The following is a 22,653-nucleotide window of genomic DNA, read 5'->3' on the forward strand; positions in this document are numbered from 1 at the left end:
TCTGCCCTAGAAGTGCCCGATATCTTCAAAACTGCCCTGCCCTGCCCGAAGATCCTCTCCCCTGACCTTGACACCCCACCTGTGCCTGGCCTTTAAGCCAGTGCTTCACATTGCCTGTGCTCCCTTCCCACCCTTGCCCCATTCAGAGCTCCCCTGCTTACCATCTCCTTGGGGACCTGCGTCCTACCAAGGGGAAGATGAGGTGGTGCATTTGCATGCAGTCAGCCGTCTGAGTCTTTAACCCAAAGCCGGGACCCAGGGCATTGAAAAAGAAGCAGGAAAGGTATTTGGGGGCAGGTAGCCTTTTTAGTTTACCCATATCTAAGGGTTTCCTGAGTTTCCCCCAGACAAGCTTTAATTTGGGGGAATTCTTTCCTTTTGACCTGGTATCATAGACTTGGCACACACATTGGGAGCCAGTGGATCCTGGTTGAAACTTTGTCTGCTACTTTCTGGCTGGCTGACCCCAGGCAAATTTCTTAAACATCCTGTATTCTTAAACAAACAGTTTTCCCAGAAGTAAAATAGGGAACTAAATAAGATAAACTGTAAAAGGCTGCATCAGAGCACTGCTCAGTTGATGTTAGTTCCTGTATTAGTTATCTATGGCTGTACAACCAATTAGCCCAAACACAGCAGCTTATAACAGTATGCATTAGTTATCTCACACTTCTGGTAAATCAGGAATCTGGGTGCAACATTGCTGGATCTTCTGGCTTAGGATCCCACAGGCTACAACCAAGGTGTCGACGAGGGCGAGTCATCTTAAGACCTGACTGGGGAAGGATCTGCTTCCAAACTCACTCACGTGGTTGTTAACAGGATTCAAGCTCCTTGTGGGCTGTTGGAATGGGGGCCTCAGTTCCCCAGTGGCTGATGGATGGAGGCTGTCCTGTGTTCCTTGCCACGTGGGCCTCTGCAGCATGGCAGTGGGCTTCATTAAAGTAAGCAAACTAAGAATGCAAAACACACACAGAGAGAGAGAGAGAGAGAGAAAGATGGAAGTCATGATCTTTTATAATCTAGGCTCAGAAGTGACATCCTCTCCCTTTTGCCATATGCTACTCATTAGAAGCAGGGAGGTCTGGCCCGCACTCATGGGGAGGGAACTACACAAGGATATGAGGCCCAGAAGGCAGGGTGCACTGGGGGCCTCGCTTCAAGGCTGCATACCACCGTTCCTTTACTTTCCCATTTTGACTCATCCTCACCAAAAGGACACTGCCATGCATTGCTCTTCATTCAACTTATTTTATTTTCAGTGATTTTATAATGCCTATGCATATCATTTAATATTTCTGTAACTTTTCATTCAAATATTTACCTAGAAAGTATGAAGTATTCCCTTATGTGTACCTCTACAGCTTCTTTCCTTTGAGAATTTCTGATACCTTAAGATCAGTGATATAATAATTCTGCTACAGCCTCCTTTCTTCTCAGCTGCGATCCAGCTAATGAGCCACTGGGGGACCAAGGCTCAAGATCAGTCATGTATCCACTCCTTTCTGGCCCAGTGACCCCTCACACAGCATGTCTTTGGGCCTGAAGGTCATTCTATCTGTCCACAAACACAGAATAAGCCACCATCTAGAAACTGCCCTTAATTCACAATGCCATTCTCCCTTTGCTGCCTAGGAAGATGAGCTGTGCTGAGTTTCCCTTGCCCAACCCAGGAAGACCGAAGACAGGCTCTCAGTTCTGTGTCTGCCTATGTCTGTCTCCAGACCAGGAGGGCATAGTCTTCTCTTTCCTCTTGTGTTCTCACACAGTGCCATCAGTCAGGGCCCTGCACAGCTCTGCTGAGACACCCCCGTGGCCATACTTGTCCCAATCTCCAACACATGACAGTATAAATTCATGATCACCCAGAGCATCATAAACACAGCTCCATCTCAGGAAACTCAGAATGCCAAAGCCTCCTTCTTCTTGTCTCTTTTGTGCAGCTTTGCCCTCTATCAAAACTTTTGGACCTTCAGAGTGCTTGATGAGCAAATGAGAAATTGCTTAGATTGGTGTCACTTCATCACTTGCTGCTTGCCTGGCCCCACTCTGCCTCTCTCTATGTGTTCCCTGTCCACTGTTCTCTGTTGTCAGCCTCACAGCACCCAGAAGGAGCTATGGGCAGTATCAATGGTTGTCTCCTAGCTCCCTTAGGGTGATTGATACCTCTCCACTTTTGCTCAAGTTATCCTCAGTATCTCTGATGCTCTTCTTATCTGACGAGCTCTTCTTCTTCCTTTGGAACTCAGCCAGATGCCAGTTTCAGGAAACTAGGTCCTAATTATAAGCTTCAGAGTGGCCCTCGTGTGACAGAATATAGTGCCACCATATGACTTACTATATTCTATTGAAATGTGTTATTTGCACACTTACCTCCACGTGGGACTTTTGCCAAGATGGGCCCAATGCCAACGTTATTGCCTCATGGTTACTGGCATTATCTTATATCAACTACCCTAAAAACCTAGGCATTGTTTTTATTCTCACTTTGCACATAAGGAAACCAAGGTTAAGTAGCTTGCTGGAGGTCACGAGGTTAAGAAGTAGCAGAAGGAAGTTTCAAATCCAATCTATCAGACCGCAAAGTTCATGCACTAAACCATTAGGCTACACTGCCTAGTTCTTCTCCCCTCTTCCTCTCAGCCCTCAGCCCTCTGCCCTCTTCCCCACCCTCTTAGTAAGGGGGCCCAGCACTAAGTTGGCGCGTAATCAATGTTTGTCTAATACAATGGAGTTGGGCCCCGTTTTTTACAGATAAGAAAATTACATTCCTATTGCCTTCATCAGAGCCAGGAAAATGAGCAGGACTTTTTATATGTCGGGGTTTTAAATAGATTTATTTCATGTTTTCCTAAGTGACTGAATAATCATCATTCTCATCAATACACACAGGCACAATACAACCTGCAGATGAAAAGACCGTATACTTACAAAGGTAGTTTGTTGTTGAAATGTAAACATCTTGTGCTTACATGCCTCTAGATTCAGCTATGAAACACCTCAACCAGTCTAAGATGCATTCTTAAAAATGAGGGGGAAAGAATATTAACTACACTTGCAAAATGTACGGTAATTTGTAAGGTGGCTTTTAACTGTTGCTGAGTCAAGGCTGTTCATCTGCCATTCCTCACTGTCCCTTTAAATACCACTCTCTGTCACTTCGGTGAAAGGAGAATGATGTATATTTCTAATTATAACCAACCAGGCACTTCCACACTCTGTTTGGTTCCCTGCAGGTTACACTATTTGCCAATATCTATTTAATTGTAGCAATAACAGGAAAAACTCCCAAATCCAACCAGCTAGAAATTCTCTGGCTCTCTTCCACTTTAGTGGAATCAAATTTTTGCACTTGCGGTCATCTTTATATATGAGAGGAGAGTGAGGCTGGGAGAAACTTGGTGTTAAAAATAAAGCAAAGTTACAGACTCTCACTCTCTAGAGCTCATGGAAGATTCTGGCTTTTTATTATTAATGATTAGCATTGACACCATCCCCCAACCTCAAGAGCATGCTGAGGATCTTCAGGGAACTCCAGCTTGATCTGGGCAGCTGCCAGGGTTGACATCTATCTGAAGATTCTGTTCTCCTCCTGCCCATCATGTCAAGGTACCATGCAGGGTGAGTCAAAGTGAGTAGCATTGTGTGTCCACCCCCTGAGGCCTGCCTCCCACCCTGAAACCTTTGCCACCTCTCCCATAGCCACCACCTTCCTCTTTCCCATGCCTAAGGCTGCCTTGGCCCCTAAATACCCCCACCTGCCCCAACATTCACCATTGAGGGATGGGGGTTACCAATCAGCTACATCACTAAATTAAATACTGACAATATGCTACCAATAGGAGAACACCTTCTAGTTAGAAAATTCAGCTTTTCTTGATAATGCCCCTGCTTGTGAATCTAGCACAAAAGTCTCTCTAGGGACAGAATTCTAGAATGGTTAAGAATGTATTTTTAGGCAGATGGAAGCTTTTTAGAAAATCTTGGATTTGACTGCATCATAAATGGTGCAGGGATGAGCAAGCAAAGGGGAGGGGAACATGGGCTGTGCACTTTCCATGCCAAGCACTGTGCCAGAGTCTAAATTCAGAATATATCATTTCATTGCTACTCTCACCCTTTGGGTAGATATGAAGATCTATGTTCTTTTTTTTTTTTTTTTTTTTTTTTTTTTTTTGAGATGGAGTCTGGCTCTGTCGCCCAGGCTGGAGTGCAGTGGTGCGATCTCGGCTGACTGCAAGCTCCGCCTCCTGGGTTCATGCCATTCTCCTGCCTCAGCCTCCCGAGTAGCTGGGACTACAGGCACCTGCCACCACGCCCGGCTAATTTTTTTTTTTTTTTTTTTTGTATTTTTAGTAGAGACGGGATTTCACCATGTTAGCCAGGATGGTCTCAATCTCCTGACCTCGTGATCCGCCCGCCTCAGCCTCCCAAAGTGCTGGGATTACAGGCGTGAGCCACCGTGCCCAGCCTGAAGATCCATATTCTTGTAGTTGAGGAGACTGAGGCTCGAGGAGACTGAGGCTCAAGGAGATCACATAGCTCTTCTGAGGTCACATGTCAAAATCGAAGCTTGAGCCCTGCTTAGGGGATCTCTAAAGTGTTGATTTTCCCTTGACACTATGTGGGGACCAGGGGCAAGTGTTGGCCCAGGTCAAGTAAAGGTACAGCTTCTGCACATGGAGCCAGGACAAGAGCTGCTCTTCTAGAGAAGGATGAATGGCAAGTTCCAGATTCTCACTATTTGGAGGTCATGGAAGATTCTAGGCTTTTCTTATTAATGTTTAGTACAACACCATCACCCTCAGCTTGAGAGCACACCGAGGACCTTCACAGCTAGCATCTGAGCTTGATCACAGCTGCCACCAGGGTTGGCATGTGTCAGAAAATGCCTCCAACAGACACCTGTAACAGAGTTGGCATCTGCCCAAATCCAATGCCTAGGTAAGGGACTGTGCCCAGGCAGAGGCAAGGGACTACAAGGAAAGGGCCAAGTAACCAGGAGATGCAGCAGATGCACTTAGAGAGATGCGAGAAAGCAAGAGAAGGGCTCCAGGGAGGGCCAGGGCAGGCCCACAGAAACTGGTTCATGGCTGGAACTCCATCTATTTGGTAACTGGAGGACAGCGCAGAGACCTTAGCAGATGACTCAGTCATCTCTGGACCAGGGCCTCAGGACTAGGGAGGGATCTATTCTAAGCCTGGCCTGATGTTGAAGCGCTAAGCATATATCCCAATTCCTGGATAAGGCTGATCCCTGGGGAATGGCCCTGGTATCTTAGGTTACCAGATTGAGACACCTGCAGAGTTGTGGAGAAGTGAGGACATTGACCCTGTCAAGGCCTGGGGCAAAGCTTGAATATGACCACATTTTACAGAAACCAACAAGGTGACCAACGCCCTCCACATTCAGTCAGTCAGCACATTACTCAGTCACCAAAGCCTTTTTTGGGCACCTGTGATTCTTTCCTTCTACTAAGAGTTGGTGCCACCTGACTATGCAGTGTGTCATGTTCTGCTCTGGGTATTCTTAGACAAAAGCCAGATTCTGTGCTAGGTATCACAGGAGATGAGTCAGCCAGGCAGACCAAGATTCCCCCTCATGGAGTTTATAATCTAGTAGAGAAGATAGGATGCAAATTAGAACAGTTATAATATCCAGCTAAGAATCCCAGTGGAGGAGCAAAAAAGAGCTTTGTGTAACAGGAAAGAAAGAAGAGAACTTCTGATAAAGGGAGGAAAGAGCAGGGTGCCTAAGTTGATTTGGTGAGACTTCCAAGAACTTGGGAGCTTTGCCGTAAAAATTATGAAGGACCAGGAGGCGTGGGCTGTAGGACTGAGCTTCAGGTCTGGGGTGACCCTCCTCTACATGACATGTGCCCCTTCTGTCCTCTCCAGCTGGTCCATTCCAATCCAGAAGTCAATGCTCCTTAGCATCCTTCATGTCTATGTTAGACCTCAAAATGCTATCCCCCACTCTCCCTGCTTTTCCAGTGAAATATGCTCTTCTCCTGACAATTGCTGGCCACAATCCCCTCTACCATGAAGTAGTCCAAGATCAGATCTCTCTATCTTGACATCATTGTTGAATCCCCATTCCGCTAAGCATGCAAGACTGGGTGACTAGAGTTAGCAGGTCTCTCTTTACCAAAGTGCGCTTTGTGATATCAAACAGCAATACTCCTGAAATAGGGGATGAAAAACCAATCTGTCCTTCTGATCATATTTGAAAAATACTAGAGAATCTTACGATGATCAGGTAGGAAATTGTTATTAAACAAAGTGATCATTTGGGACACCAATAATCCCAACTTACGTGTCTATTTTCTAAGTATGAATTCTAGAGAGGATTTTTCTTCTACCTTGTGAATCTACGAGTTCTTGGATATGTATTTTCATAGGAACTTTTCTGGAAATTGTCTCTGTCTTTAAATTGTAAGAGGACCTTGAGAACAGAGATGTCATTTTTTTAACTCATCCTCCCATCTGTGCCACTCTATGAGGCCTGAATGCTGGCCTGGCAACCTGGGGGACACACAAGGTGCTTAGTCTTTGTGGACACTGTTGTCTGGCTGAATATAGGGATGCTTAATGCAAGTCAGCCCTTCTTTGAGGACAAACTTACTCAGATCCATTCTGCAAGGCCTCCGTGGTCTACCTATTCCAGGTAGTAGAATTCTAAAGCCCTAGGAAATTGCATCCTTTGGCTAAGTTCTCTCTCCTCAATAGCATGAAGCAGCATAATGTCAAAGAAAATGACCCTCAAATCAGGCAAACTGAGCTCGAAGAGCACCTTTGGTAATGACTAGCTGTGTGGGCAAAGTACTAAACTTAACCTTTTTAAAGATCTGTTTATCTTCATAATGAGACTAGCCTATTCCACAAAGATGTGAGTGTGAAACAAGTCTGGATTGTTGTATGCCCTTAGTAAATGACAGCTATATACAGCATTCCTTCTTTGAATTTCCAAATTTTAATGAAAATTATTTTTCAGAATGAAATCTTTGCTTTTTAAAAACTATTTTGAGTGTACACAATTATATTTGCTAATGGGCTGACTGAAGCTCAGACACATCTCCATAAAATATATTTATGCACATATTATATATCCAGACCCTACACACTATGTCACTATATACCTGAGTATGCACGTGTTCTCTCTCTCACACACACACACGTACACACGTACACACACACACCTCAATCCCAAATTAATTGCAGGTGTAATGAGTATTTGGTTCCAGCATTAACTCCCAGTCCCTCGTCACTAAGGAATTCTCATTGCTCAACTGAGTTAACATCGCTTGTCTTGTATCGTAAACACACCTGCCGGTAAGAGCTTCCCTAGAGTTCCTTAGTCACCAGTTCCTGAACTTAGCACTGACTGGGATGGACCAGCAGCCCCAGTTCACCTGGTTGCCATGAGAAAGAAACAGAACACAGCCCTTTGACAGAACTAACAAGGTCCTTGAGGGTTTGCTTCAGCCCTCAAATAAAAGAAAGAATGCCACATGCAGCTCTGTGCCTCCATGGAGGTAAGAAACACCTGCCATGCCTTGGGGATAACATCGACACCCCGCTCTTCTGACGTAATTGGCTGTTAACTAGATCATATCACTAATGGAGTTTCATCGTCATTATTCATGCACCTGTCTTTCTCCTGTGCAGGACTGTGAGTTTTTGTGCAGGTGGAGTTTGTCTTATTCATCTCTGTGTCCCCAGCGCCTGTCTTCTGTAGCTTTTGGTGCACACTTTGTTAGTTGGATGAATGGATGAGGAATGGATGGGTGGGTGACACATTTACTATTTGGGTCCCTATATCAGCTTTGAACTAGAGTCACAAGAAATTTTTTTAAAATAATTATTTACTCTATTCTTCTTTTTCTTTTTTTTTTTTTTTTTGAGATAGGGTGTCTGTTTGGTTCCCTGCAGGTTACACTATTTGCCAATATCTATTTAACTTGAAACAGAATCCTGTGCTCAGGGAATATTCCTGTGCTCCCCAGTATCTGTCAGTTGCCAAGCCATTAGGTGGTCCTGGTGCTGAAAATGGAGCTGGTATTTTTAGCTCTGTTCTCTTATTTGTTTCTGTTGACTTTCAGGAAGAAAAGGCAGGAATGTTGACTTTACACCATCATCTTCATAGTGGCCTGAATGTTTATGCTCCCCCCACTTCCCTCCACCCCCCGAAAGTCATGTTGATATCTAATCCCCAATCCAATAGTATTAAGAGCTGGGGGGCTTCTGGGAGTTGATTAGGTCATGGGAGCACTTAATGCCCTTATTAAAAGGCCCCATGGTGTATATGTACCACACTTAAGCCACTATCCTCAGCAAACTCACACAGGAACAGAAATCAAACAACACATGTTCCACTTACAAGTGGGAGCTGAACGATGAAAACACATGGACACAGGGAGGGGAACATCACACACTGGGGTCTGTTGGGGTATGGCGGGAGGGAGAGCATCAGGATAAATAATGCATGCAGGGCTTATTACCTAGCTGAGGGATTAATAGGTGCATCAGGCCAGCATGGCACACATTTACCTATGTAATAAACCCACATGTCCTGCACATGTACCTGGGAACTTTAAAAAAAAGCCTCCAGGGAGCTTGTTCTCCACCTTCTGCCACGTAAAAGACACAGTGAGAAGGTGCCATTTATGAACCAAAATGTGGGCCTTCACCAGACACCAAATCTGCCAGCACCTTGATCCTGGGTTTTCCAGCCTCCGGAACTGAGAGGAGTAAATGTATGTTGTTTATAAATTACCTAATTTAAGGCATTTTTTTATAGCTGCCTGAATGGACAAAGTCACCAAAACAGATGTCTTCCTCTGAGTTTCGAAGTGACAGCAGGAAGGGCTGAACCCTCATGTCTATTTCTCCAAAGATGGAGTGAGGCTCTGTCTCTGTGCTGTTATTCTGTCCTCCCGTCCATCTGAACATCTTTAGCAAATGGTTCCTCTCTCCTGCTGTTCTTCAGCCGTCCTGCTGTCCACACCCTGGCAGCCTGGAGGTGGGTCCAGCCAACCATGGGCCTGATTCCTGAGTAGGCTTCACCCCAGCCTCAGTTCCCTCCTTGGGTGAGTTGGACTGTGTGACCTGAAAAAACAGAGTCTCAAGAGCTTTTTCATTCTCTGCATTCGAAAACAGGCAATGCCCAGGGTGGTTAAAAATGTGAGCTGGGGAGTCCGATTGCCTGTGTTTGAATCCTAACTCTGCCCCTGCTGCCTGTGAGCTTTGCACAGGCCACCAGCTTTTCTCAATCCAGCTGTCACGTGAGCTGTGCGGGCTGAATTGAGTTCATGTGGACCAGCACAGTGTGAGCCACCAAGGTCAGCGGCTGAGCCTGAAGCTGACTCACACTGCTTCTTCCCAGGTACCCATACTTCACCAGGGGCAGAGAAATTTTCCAGTCCCCAAAATGAATCTCCCCAATACCTCAATAATCCATGGCTCCTCCATGCCAGATAATTTTATAATTTGTTTCTTCCACCCTGGGAAGAGAGGGGAGGGCGGAGGAAAAATGGTGCCTGGGGGGGGTCATTGTCACTCCACTTTCCTGTCTTGCCACTTAATGGGTGGTCCTTTTCCTTGTAAGTCCTTGGTGACTCACAGAGGGATGGTGAGGGGGACTGTAATGCTACCATGTATCAGCCTTCTAGAGAGCGTTATAGAGATGGTTTTGGAGACAGGCATCTCCAGGACATTTTATCCCAAAGCTTTCAGTATAAAACAGAATATAAAGATAATCCTGAAAATCCTAAAACTTTTGGAGGCATTATCAGACAGGAAGGAGTTTCTTAGACTCTAGAAAGACAGCACATGTTAGGAAAGGCACCAGACAACAAGACAGAAGACATGGGTTTCAGGATAGGCCTTGTCCATGATAATTGCAGTCTTGGCCAAGGCAGCAAAACTCCAGGAGCCTTGGCTTTCCGAACTCTAAACCACGGATAACAAGGTTCTTTTTCCCAAGTTTGGTGTGAAAATTTCATGGGGATTTTGTAAGGAAGACATTTGAAAATGATGATGTGCTATCAATATTATTATCATAAATTATGAATCATAATGGTAGGAAAAAGGGGAGTCTGAAAGTTAGATTTGTTTGGTGCTTCTCAGAATTGTCTGAGGAAAGAGGATTCTTGCTAGGTAAGTGTCACTCTCAAAGAAAAGCATATTTTACATTGTGAGCCAGGGCCCATATATCTATGTCTGTGGATATACATACAAAAAAAGGTTTCATGAAATAATACTTACCTTGAAAAAAATGGACTCTGATGTTTTGTATGCTTTTTTATTCCTCTTAAAATAAAATGCTAGTTATAAGTCTTTAAATTGAATTTTTTATTTTTTTTTGAGACGGAGTCTTACTCTGTCACCCAGGCTTGAGTGCAGTGGTGAGATCTCAACTCACTGCAATCTCTGCCTCCCAGATTCAAGCAATTCTCCCTCTTCAGCCTCCTTGGGAGTAGCTGGGACTACAGGTGCATGCCCCCATGCCTGGCTAGTTTTTGTATTTTTAGCAGAGACGGGGTTTCACCACGTTGGCCAAAATTGATTTTAAAACTACTAACAGGTCACAACTATAGCTTGAAAACTACTTGTCTAGATTAGGGGTTTGCAGACCCCTGTAAAGGACCAGAGAGCCCATCTCTTAGGCTGTGTGGATCACAGGGTCTCTGTTGTAGAAGGAAGCTGTATTCAACGCATGCATGAATGGGCATGGCTGTGTTTCAATAAAATTTCATTTACAAAAACAAGTGGCTAGTCTACAGGCCATAGTTTGCTGACCTCGGTCCAGATAAATCCAAGTTCTTCAGGTAGAAATATTCCAAAGGACTATTCAAGTGTGATGTTTGCACTTTTGTCTCTAAGTTCATTGCAAAGCTTGCTAACAACTTCAATTTGGCCTCCCGTGCCAATTCCCCCACACAGAGGGAAAGAGCTCTTCTACCAGCAGGAATCAGCAAGCCCTGGGTCTTATGACAAGTCCTTCTCCCAGTGCGAAGTAACCAACTGGCATCTGGTTTACAAATCAGTTCCTTTCCAGTTGAATTACTGTGAGTCATTGCCCAAGAGCCTGATCAGGCTTGCATGGAAAGAGAAATCATGTTTCTGAGCGTGCAAAATGAAGGACCAGACCCCAAAATATCACATCTCACAAAGTACTGCCTTTCATTCTCCACTCCCTTCCCCTGAGCCCCAGCTGAGAAAGGTCAGCCAGGTTGGCAGAGGATAAACTATGGAAACCAAAACAATCGTATGCTGGAATATGCAATTTCATTTTCAGTCAGGTCTTTGACATTGTGTGACCATGGGAGAGGTCACACACTGGTGAAGGAACACATGCTTACCTGAAATTTTCTATTATGCAATCTAGGTAGCTTTTTAGTTTCAATATTCCAAAAAAAATCTTGTTGCCATTCAAAATAAGCAGAAACCATTTATGTCCAATGTTTCTCCTGCAGCTTGTCCCAGACGAAAAGAGTACCCCCATTCAGGCTTTGTATGGTTGGTGTCTTAGGTTCCTGCAGACTTTGTTCCAACTATTAGAGTTCTTTGCCCTTAGTCTTTGGCCTTAGTTTTTTGTTTTTGTTTGTTTGTTTGTTTGTTTGTTTTTGAGACAGAGTCTCGCTCTGTCTCCCAGGCTGGAGTAAAATGGCATGATCTCAGCTCACTACAACTTCTGCCTCCTGGGTTCAAGCAATTCTCCTGCCTCAGCCTCCCAGGTAGCTGAGGTTATAGGCGCCCACCACCATGCCTGGCTAATTTTTTGTATTTGTAGTAGACAAGGGGTTTCACCATGTTTTGGTCAGGCTGGTCTCGAACTCATGACCTCAAGTGATCCACCTGCCTCAGTCTCCGAAAGTGCTGGGATTACAGGCATGAGTCACCACGCCCAGACTTTAGCCTTAGTTTTAAAAAGAATAAAACACTGGGAATAAGATGAACTTGGGTTGTTAGATTTGTGGAATGAAGGAAGCCCTTCAGGACATATAATAAACGCTGAGGATAAGCCTCGGCTTCATGTCCCCCTCCTCCCTCCATCCCCTTTGCACTTGTTGGGAAACAAAGAAAGCCTCTCCCTGCAACCAGGACTACCATTCAACCACAGCAGCAGGAATATCATGCGTGTGCACTCCCCCATGCAAAATCAGAGCTACTGTCCCACTTGAGCGTTAAAATTAGTAGAATCAAGCCTGGCGACCCCTGACATAGCCTCAACTGTGTGGGGAGAACCAATGCTTAAATGAATCCCCTTTTGTACGTTACTTAATGCCTAAAGGACACAGGGCTCATTCTGAGTTCACCAAGGGGTCAGCAAACTCTTCCATAAAGGACTACATAGTAAATAGTTTAGGTTTTGCAGTCCCAGAGGCAAAATCAAAGATATGATGTAGGCACTTAAAGAACAATTCAAAATGTAACCATTTAAAAATGTAAAAAACCATCCTTAGCTCACAGGCCCTACCAACACAGGAGGAGGGCTAGATTTGGCCCATAGGCCATAGTTAGCCAACTCCTGGTTTGGAAGGACAGAGTGCAGGAGAGGGGCATGGCAGAATTGTTCAACTGGAAAGAAAATGTGACAGATGTGGCTTTGGGGATACATGCTTTCAATGTCATTGTCCCCTTTTGCTGGGTTGTTTTGTTTTGTTTTGCTTTTTGAGACAGAGTCTTGCTCTATCACCCAGGCTGGAGTGCAGTGGCACGATCTTGGCTCACTGCAACCTCCACCTTCTGGGATCAAGCAATTCTCTTGCCTCAGCCTCCCGATTAGCTGGGATTACAGGCAGGTGCCACTACACCTGGCTAATTTTTTGTATTTTTAATAGAGACGGGGTTTCACTGTGTTAGCCAGGATGGTCTCGATCTCCTGACCTTGTGATCCACCTGCCTCGGCCTCCCCAAGTGCTGGGATTACAGGCATGAGCCACCTCGCCCGGCTTGCTGGGTTGTTTTAATGAGAGGGAATTTATGGTACTGAAGTAAAAATATTTACTAAGTTAAAAGTTAAGTGCATAAAGTATGCATGGTTAGAAGAGCTTAAAGGAAAACTGCATGCTCAAGTTTGTTGATAAATATTTTGTATGATATGTATAGAAATAAGATATTCTAATCTTTTAGGTTTAGGAGAACAAGTCTTTATTAATAAGTTGAAAACACAGGTATGGTTCTACAGACTAAAATTTCATTAAAATTCTACATTTTTGAAACTCCTGCAATGAAGTGCAAACAGAAAATATTTAGAACCTGGCCAGTAGAGCAGAAGTCACCGTGAAGATTGGACTTGGTTGTGGTGTTATGGGATCCTGAACAGAAGCTAATGGCAGCTGAAAAGAAAACCACATGTGGATAAAGTAGAAAGATCATCAGAGATGAGCTACCGATGGTCTTTTGAGTTCCATTTGAAAGTAATATTATGGAGAGGCTGGGGGAGAAAAAAAGAGTAAAGTAGTGACGAACTTGGCAGGAAAATACAAGAAGCTGAGACCATGTGAATTGGAGTATTTGGGGGACACTGAACATGCCAGGCATTTCTGCGTAGAACAGCCAAAAATCACCCAACTTCATGATTCCACGTTGTCTTACCTGTTCGGCTCATCATGTCTAGGTGACCAGAGGCAATGTAACCAGAAGAATCAAATGGGAATTTTTATTAAGGAAAGGAGCCATGGCCTTGACTTGGAAAACAGACTCAAACACCAGCGCTCAAGGGCAAGATGAGGCTCAAAGTGGAAGAATGAGCATGAAGATCGGAAGCCAGAAGAAGCAGCGATGAGTAGAGATGCCGCACACATACATGATCAGCACAGGCAGTGCAGGACAAAATCATGAACAAGATGAAAGCATGAACACCCAGATGAATATGGTGCCAGTCACAGTACAGGAATGACGCATGTTCTGCAACTTCAATGGCGCAAGGAATACTGGACCTGGATGGTTGATATAATAACATAGCCATAAAGTATAAGAAGCAGATGGGATTGCCTCAAGATGATAATTTTGATTATTCAACATTGTTATGTTCATAAATACATCTTTGTGCAACATCTTCATCACAGATGGCAGACACTTGACACATGTGCGGTCAGTGGCAGGGATTACTAATTGATCACAGTTGTTTTTTCCCCAAGGCTTGGATACAGCCTCAAAATTCTTCTCAATGTAGTCATCCAGTATGTTACAGATAGTTCGCTGTAATTGGTATATAAAGACAAACATATATGCTATCCTAATCTATAGATTATAGATATTGATATGGTTTGGCTCTTTGTCCCCATCCAAATCTCATCTTGAATTGTAATCCCCACGTGTCAAGGGAGGGACCTGCTGGGAGTTGATTGGATCATGGAGGCGGTTTTCCCCATGCTGTTCTCATGATAGTGAGTGAGTTCTCATGAGATCTGATGGTTTAAAAGTATTTGGCAGTTCCTCGCCACCCGCCTCCTGCCACCATGTGAAGAAGGTCCTTGCTTCCCCTTCGCTTTACACCATGATTATAAGTTTCCGGAGACCTCCTTAGCCATGCAGAACTGTGAGTCAATTAAAACTTTTTTCTTCATAAATTACCCAGTCTCGGGTAGTCCTTTATAGCAGTGTGAAAACAGACTGATGCAGATACAATATGTAATCTATAGATATATTTATAGATTATTCTGTGTAATCTATAGATATATTGACAGATTATTCTGTATAAACTACAGATATATAGATTTAGCTGGTAAATTTAAATTTTTAGCTCAGTATCCACCGAACTTTTATCTTAATTATCACTTTAACTGCTTATTACTTTCAGTTCAATAACCTTACTTGAGTTCTTGCTGCCAGATTCAGTTTTCAACAATTGTCCACACTACACTGAATTTGTCATCTATTGTCCCATTCATGTTAGTGACATAGACTCTGCAGGTATGAACTGTCAATCATTGTTATCTTTATTTACAATGTAAGAATTACCTTCCAACTGATATGAAGTGCTCAGGGTGAAATTGCATTCATCTCCTAAGTCAGGAATGGTATTTGAATTAATGTTAGTTTTAATTACTTAAAGGCTCATTTAAAATTTTGAATTTTGATGATATTCTTTCTTTAATTATTTTTATGACATTCACACATTCTAAGATACTCTAGATTGTCCACTGTCATTGAAATGTTTGTCACTGAGGCAACATCATCTAGTTGCTAAAATTCTTCTTAACTGAATGAAAGGTAGGGAATAAGATGTGATCTATTTCTGGCAGAGTAGCCTGTTGCAGATGAATCCTTCCACCAAGAAACTGAAATATGTGGTCCAGATTTTTTTCAAAAGTTCTATTTGAAGGCACTGGGGAGCCATAAAAGCAGTAGAAAGGAGAATACTGATGTGAGCCCAACATTCTAGAATTTTTCCTCTTGAGGTATCTGCCAATTCTGAAACAACTCAGGGCCAAGTGACTAGGAAGCAGGGTACAAAGTGGAGTCTAAGAGTCTGAGAGTCTGAACAAAGATTTTTGTAACCCGCAGAGCTGGGGAGACAAACATTAAAGATTAGAGCTCAGCAAATAATAGAAGCCCTGGTAAACTCCCTAGACCTCTAGTTAGAACCAATAGGAAGGATAAACTCTATGAATAAAGATGAGCTGGAAATAAACCATTCCTCGCAAAAACTGAAACCAGTATTCAAACCACTCAACCCAAACTAAAGGAGATATGACCCTATTCTAACTGACTGTCAGAAAGAAAAAAATTAATCCTCCATGGAGGAAGATGTCAGGCAGAGTCTCAGATGATCTAAGTCATTTTCCATAAATAATATTTGACTCTCAATAAAGAAATTACCAGGCATGTTAGGAGTTAGGGAAAGTGACTAAAAATCAAGTTTAAAAGAAAACAGGAAAAAAGACAAGTAGAGAATTACATGAGAATTTGATATTTTAAAGGGTCTAATGAAAATTCTAGAACTGAAAATGTATTATAAAAGTAAGGGCTCACTAGGTGAATTGAGCAACAGACTAGACACAGGAGAAAAAAGGATTAATAAACTGGAAAAACAGGTTGATTAAAAATAGCCAGACTATGGATGAAGACAAAAAAAGCATGTAAATACATAAAAGATCATATAGAATATATGGTATACCTTTAAAAGATCGAATATTTAGATAATTGGTACACCAGAAGAGAATGAGAAAAAGTATGGAGCAGAAGCAATATTTGAAGAGATGATAACTGAGAAAGAACATCAGAAAACTGAAAAAGGGCACAAAATTAAAAATTCAAAAATGTATTTGAAATATACATAGAGTTAAAATAACTATTTACAAAGAAAACTCTGAGATCAGATGGCTTCCAGACCAGATAGACTAGATTATCTTTAATGACTCTCCTAGCCTTAAAATTGTAACTATAAATAATGGATGTATTTCCTTCATACATGATAAAGCAGAGAAGAGCTGTTTCTCCTGTGCCCTGCCTAAATTCTCAACCCACAAAATTATGATTATTATAAACTGGTTGTTGTTTTACACACAAATGCATACACAACCTTCCAAAGAAAATTTCAAGACAAGATGACTCCACTGGTGCATTATTTAAAATATTAAGGGAAGTATAACGGCCTTCAGAAAACAGAGAATGAAGACTTTCTAACTAGTATTAGGAGGCCAACATAACCTTGGTTCCCAAAACTGACAAGGTATTATAAGAAATGAAAATTCAAGGCTGGGCGCGGTGGCTCATGCCTGTAATCCCAACACTTTGGGAGGCAGAGGTGGGTGGATCACAAGGTCAGGAGATTGAGACCATCCTGGCTAATACGGTGAAACCCCATCTCTATTAAAAATACAAAAAAAATTAGCTGGGCATGGTGGCAGGTGCCTGTAGTCCCAGCTACTCGGGAGGCTGAAGCAGGAGAATGGTGTGAACCTGGGAGGCAGAGCTTGCAGTGAGTAGAGATCACACCACTGCACTCCAGCCTGGGCAACAGAGCAAGTGTCCGTCTCAAAAAAAAAAAAAAAGAAATGAAATGAAAATTCCAGGTGAATTCCTCTTAGGAACATAGATCAAAATGATCTTAAATTGCAAACCAAGATCAAGGATATACTAAAAAGATAATACTTTGGTACCAATCTTAAGCTTATCTTAGGAATTCAAGATTGGTTTAAGATTCAGAACTTAATTCATCACATTAATAGAATAAAGAAGAAAAAGTAAAGGAGAAAAACTAAATAACTATCTTTATAGATGAAGGATAAAGTATGACAAAATTAACCGTGATTGATGATTTTTTAAAAAAATCTCCTAGAACCAGGCATTAAAGGGAATCTCCTTAATCTGACAAAGGGTGTCTACAAAGCACCAACAACAAATACCATACTTAATCATCAACTATTACAATTTTCAGCAGAGATCAGGAGCAAGACTGTGATGCCTGCTGTCTTAGTGTTTTGTGTTGCTAAAACAGAATACCTGAGACTAGGCAATTGATAAAACATAGAAATTCATTTCCTCACAGTTCTGGAGGCTGGGAAATCCAAGATCAATTTGCCAGCATCTGGTGAGGGCCTTCTTGCTGTGTCATCCCATGGCGGAAGACAAGGGGCAATAGAGAGAACAAGAACAAGCCATATTCATTCTTTTATAAGGAACCCGCTCCTGTGATAAAAATATTAATTCATTCATGAGAGAAGTGCTCACATAACCCAAACAACTCCCATTAGGACCCACTTCCAAACACTACATCATTAGGGAACAAGTTTTTAACACATGAACTTTGGGGAACACATCCAACCATTGCACCTGAGCTCTCCAGGCCTATTCAGCATTGTATTAGAGGCTGTGACCATGGTAATACATCACTAAATAAAAAATATATAGTCATATATATATATATAATAAATGTACATGGATTAGAAAAAATGAAATAGAAATTAAGCTGCTGTTATTCACAGACAACATGATTGTACACATAGTAAAAATGACAATTAGAATTAGTTAATGAATTTAGCAAAGTTGTTGGATACAAGGGCAGTATCATGAATAAACTGCAACACAAACCAGCAACAATTAAAAATGAATTAAACAAATGAAACTATGTAGAAGAGTGTCAAAAAATTCGAACAACTAAACATAATGAATATGAAAGACTTCTACAAATAAACATATATAACAGTATAAGAAGGATGTAAAGAAGACATAAATAAGTGGAGGACACTTATTTAGGCACATGATACATGGATTGGAATGTAAATTTGTTGATTTTTCCAAGTTGACCTAAATTCCTGCCAAGATATCTTTTTGTGTGTGTGTGGGTGCGTGGAAATTGACATCCTGAATTTTGAAATTTGTATGGAAATACAAATATAAAGAGTAGTTAGGATAAATTTGAAATACTTCTACCATCAAATATCAATACTTATTATAAAGGCACTGTAATTAATATATTAATTAGTAAATTAGTACAAGGATAGACAAGTAGACTAATGGAACAGAATGGGAGTCCAGGGATAGATCCATACATATATGGACACTTGATTTATGACAGAGGTGATACTACACAGCAGAGGAAAAAATGAATGTGTTGACAATCAGTGATGCTGTGTCAACTGGATATTCAGGTGCAAAAACAAAACAAAATAAAACAAAACTTAAACCTTCCTTTAACACACATACAAAATCCAATTGTATTTATTTATTTATTTATTTATTTATTGAGACAAGGTCTTGCTCTGTCACCCAGGCCAGAATGCAGTGACACAATCACAACTCGCTGCAGCTTCAACCTCCTAGGCTCAAGGATCCTCCTGCCTCAGCCCCCCGAGTAGTTGGGACTACAGGCATGCGCCACCATGCCCAGTTAATTTTTTATATTTTTTGTAGAGACAGGGTTCCACTTTGTTGCCCAGGCTAGTCTTGAACTCCTGGGCTTAAATGATCCTCCCACCTCAGCCTCCCGAAGTGCTGGGATTATAGGCATGAGCCACCATGCTCAGCTCCAAAATTTCGTTTTAAATGGCTTATAGAAGATATAGGAGAATATCTCTTCAAAGTTATTCATTTTGGCAAATATTTCTTATAAATGACAAAGTAGATACACTGGACACTATTGGGAGAATGGAATGTCAAGCCACAGAATTGGAGAATGTATTTTAATCTGTTTTACCAACAAAAGATTCATATTCAAAATATATAAAGAGTAAATAAATAAGGAAAAGATAGACAATTCAATATAAAATTGGACAAAAGATTTGAACAGATGCTTTCTAAAACATATGATAATCACCAGGAAAATGCAAACTAAAGCCATAATAAGATACCACTTACACACTTAGAAGAATATGTAAAATTAAAAGGATTGACCAGACCAAGTATTGGTCAATTATGGAGAAACTGTAACCTTCACACCCTCCCAGTAAGAGTGTAAATTGGTGAAAGTACTTTGCGAAAGTATTTGGCAGTACCTGCTAAAGCTGAACATACTCATACTTTGTGACCCAGCAGTTCTGTTCCTCAGGATAGATATATCCAACAGAAATGCATACATACGGGGCGAGGGGAGGGAGAGTATTAGAAAAAATAGCTAATGCACGCTGGACTTAATATCTAGGTGATGGGTTGATAGGTGCAGCAAACCACTGTGGCACATGTTTAGCCATGTAACAAACCTGCACATCCTACACATGTACCCCGGAACTAAAAATAAAAATTAAAAGAAAAAAATGTATAACATAGGTTCACCAGTAATAGCCATGTTGAAGAATGCTCACAGCATCTTTATTTATAATAGCCAAAAATTAGAAATGATCCAAATGTCGATTGATAGTAGAATGAATAAATAAATAAAATATTTTATAGCGACAAGATAAATGAGTCTCTTCTATGTGCAAAATGTGAATAAATCTCATGAAAATAATATCGAGCAAGAGAACTACATGATTTCATTTATATGAAGTTCAAAACTAGACAAAGCTAATTTACAGTACTGGAAATCAGGAAAGAGGTGACGTTAGCAGAAAAGTACTGTAGGGACTTTAAATACAGTGACCTCCCATCCTAGTTTTCTTTCTTTCTTTTTTTTTTTTTTAATCATACTTTAAGCTCTGGGATACATGTGCAGGACGTGCAGGTTTTTTACATAGGTACACACGTCCCATGGTGTTTCGCTGCACCCATCAACCCATCACCTACATTAGGTATTTCTCCTAATGCTATCCCTCCCCTAGCCCCCAACCCACCAACAGGCCCCAGTGTGTGATGTTCCCCTCCCTGTGTCCGTGTGTTCTCATTGTTCAACTCCCACTTATGAGTGAGAACATGCCGTGTTTGGTTTTCTGTTCCTGTGTTAGTTTGCTGAGGATGATGGTTTCCAACTTCATCATGTCCCTGCAAAGGACATAAACTCATCCTTTTCTTATGGCTGCATAGTATTCTATGGTAAATATATGCCACATTTTATTTATCCAATCTATCATTGATGGGCATTTGGGTTGGTTCTAAATCTTTGCTATTGTGAATAGCACTGCAATAAACATATGTATGCATGTGTCTTTATGGTAGAATGATTTACAATCCTTTGGGTATCTACCCAGTAATGGGATTGCTGGGTCAAATGGTATTTCTGGTTCTAGATCCTTGAGGAATTGCCACACTGTCTTCCACAATGTGTGAACTAATTTATCCTCCCACCAACAGTGTAAAAGCGTTCCATTTTCTCCACATCCTCTCCAGCATCTGTTGTTTCCTGACTTCTTAATGATCACCATCCTAACTGGCATGAGATGGTATCTCACTGTGGTTTTGACCACAGCCAATATCATACTGAATGGGCAAAAGCTGGAAGCATTCCCTTTGAAAACCGGCACAAGACAAGGATGCCCTCTCTCACCACTCCATCCTAGTTTTCTAATAACTGAAGAGTTAACAAGGACAAGGGATTGCAGTGTTAAAACTGAGTTAATACTAAACAAACTGAGGTGGTTGGCTTCCCTAACTGGCAGGGTCGCGGGGTCTGTTGGGGTGGTGATGGTTACATCTGGGTGATGGTTACATGGCAATCACTTTGTGATATGCCATCTGTGATAAACTACTGTGACATGTTGTTCTTTTCTTTCAAATATGCTTCTGTAATAGATTTATTAAGCAGCTCAACCTACCTGGCATTTATTGATAAATGTAGAATAATGTAGGGGTATATGGGAAACTACTTATGCTCAAATAATTTATTGATTAACATGTGCTTTTTCTGCTGATTAAGAAGGCAAATTGTCATCAAAGTGACACTTATCACTACTTTGCATTCAATTGGCATCTTCTCCCAGGGAGGTACTCCTCCAGGGGCTGTGAATATAAAAGTGAACAATAATCCTATCTTCAGGTAGCTTTCATTCTAGTGGCAGGGACAAGCTATAAGCAAATAAAGACATGTATTATATAACATTCTGTTGGGTAGTGATATGTGTAACAAATAAGAATAAAGAGGTCAACATAGTAATGAGACTGACGTTTAGGAAAGGGTGGTCAGACAAGACCACCTTCAATGAAGGTGAGATTTCAGTAAAGACCTGCATCACCTCAGGTAACAGGAAAATACCTTGGGAAATGAGGAAAGAAAAATTCCAGAAGAAGCAATGAGTATAAAGTTTCTGAGATGAGAGCACAAGTGCTCCATCCCTCATGAGCACATATCACAAGTGAAACTATTCATTTAAAGTTTTCCTTTCCCACCATCCACTAGTAGCTCCACTGAGACAGGGACTGTACCTGTCTTGTTCACCAACGTTTTGTGAGCACCACTATCATGAACGGAGCATAAATTTGTTCAATAAGGATTTTTTATAAAAAGTAAACTCAAAAACTCATTTTAATATATGCTTTGATTTGTTTCTAGGCCATCTCTTCTGCCCCTGGAATTGATCTGTTCATTTGTGCATCAGTCCTACACCGTTTGAATTACTGTGGCTTTACAGTTTGTCCTGACAACTGGCAGCAAAGTCACAGGAGGCATAATTCTAGCAGTGGGCTATGCCCGGAGACACAACTGTTAAATAAAAATAGACAGACGGTGTCATTGTCCTCGTGAGGGTCAAACCCTTGTAGGATTGTGGAGGTGAAAAAGCTTAATTTCAAAGAATAAATTGGCAGTTTAGTCTATATCTGATGAGTAAATGCATAAAAGCAGAAAATGAGTAGAATTCTTTGTAAGGGTGGATAAACAGGTTTGCAGGTCAGACGCTGGCAAATCCCCAAGATGAGGCTCAAGGTTTTTATCTGAGACTAGCTTCTTGAGAGCCATTGTGGGTTCTAAAAAGGGCGTGCTATTTCCAGTCTCGATACCAAGTGGTGAGTGTTAGCATCTGTGACACAGAGCCCAGAATAAACACCTACTGAGATTGTATGACCAGTGTGATGCACGGTGTGACCTGTTCATCTGATCCTCCTGCAGTAGCAGCAACAAACAGCTCAGATCATTCCTCTGTGCCCTTGCTTTGAACCAGTGCCGACCCAGGACCCAAGGTTTAAGTGTGGATTTAAAAATTTAAACAGCTATCTGACACGGTTCAGAGGCAATAACCCAGGTATGCCCCCATCGGCTGGGGCTTGCTTCCCCACCGCCCCAATGTGGATAATGTTGCTGGCTGCCTCAGATTTTGGGGGTGACATGGCAGG

This window comes from Homo sapiens, chromosome 15, assembly GCF_000001405.40.
Source record: "Homo sapiens chromosome 15, GRCh38.p14 Primary Assembly".
In the NCBI taxonomy this organism is placed as follows: domain Eukaryota; kingdom Metazoa; phylum Chordata; class Mammalia; order Primates; family Hominidae; genus Homo; species Homo sapiens.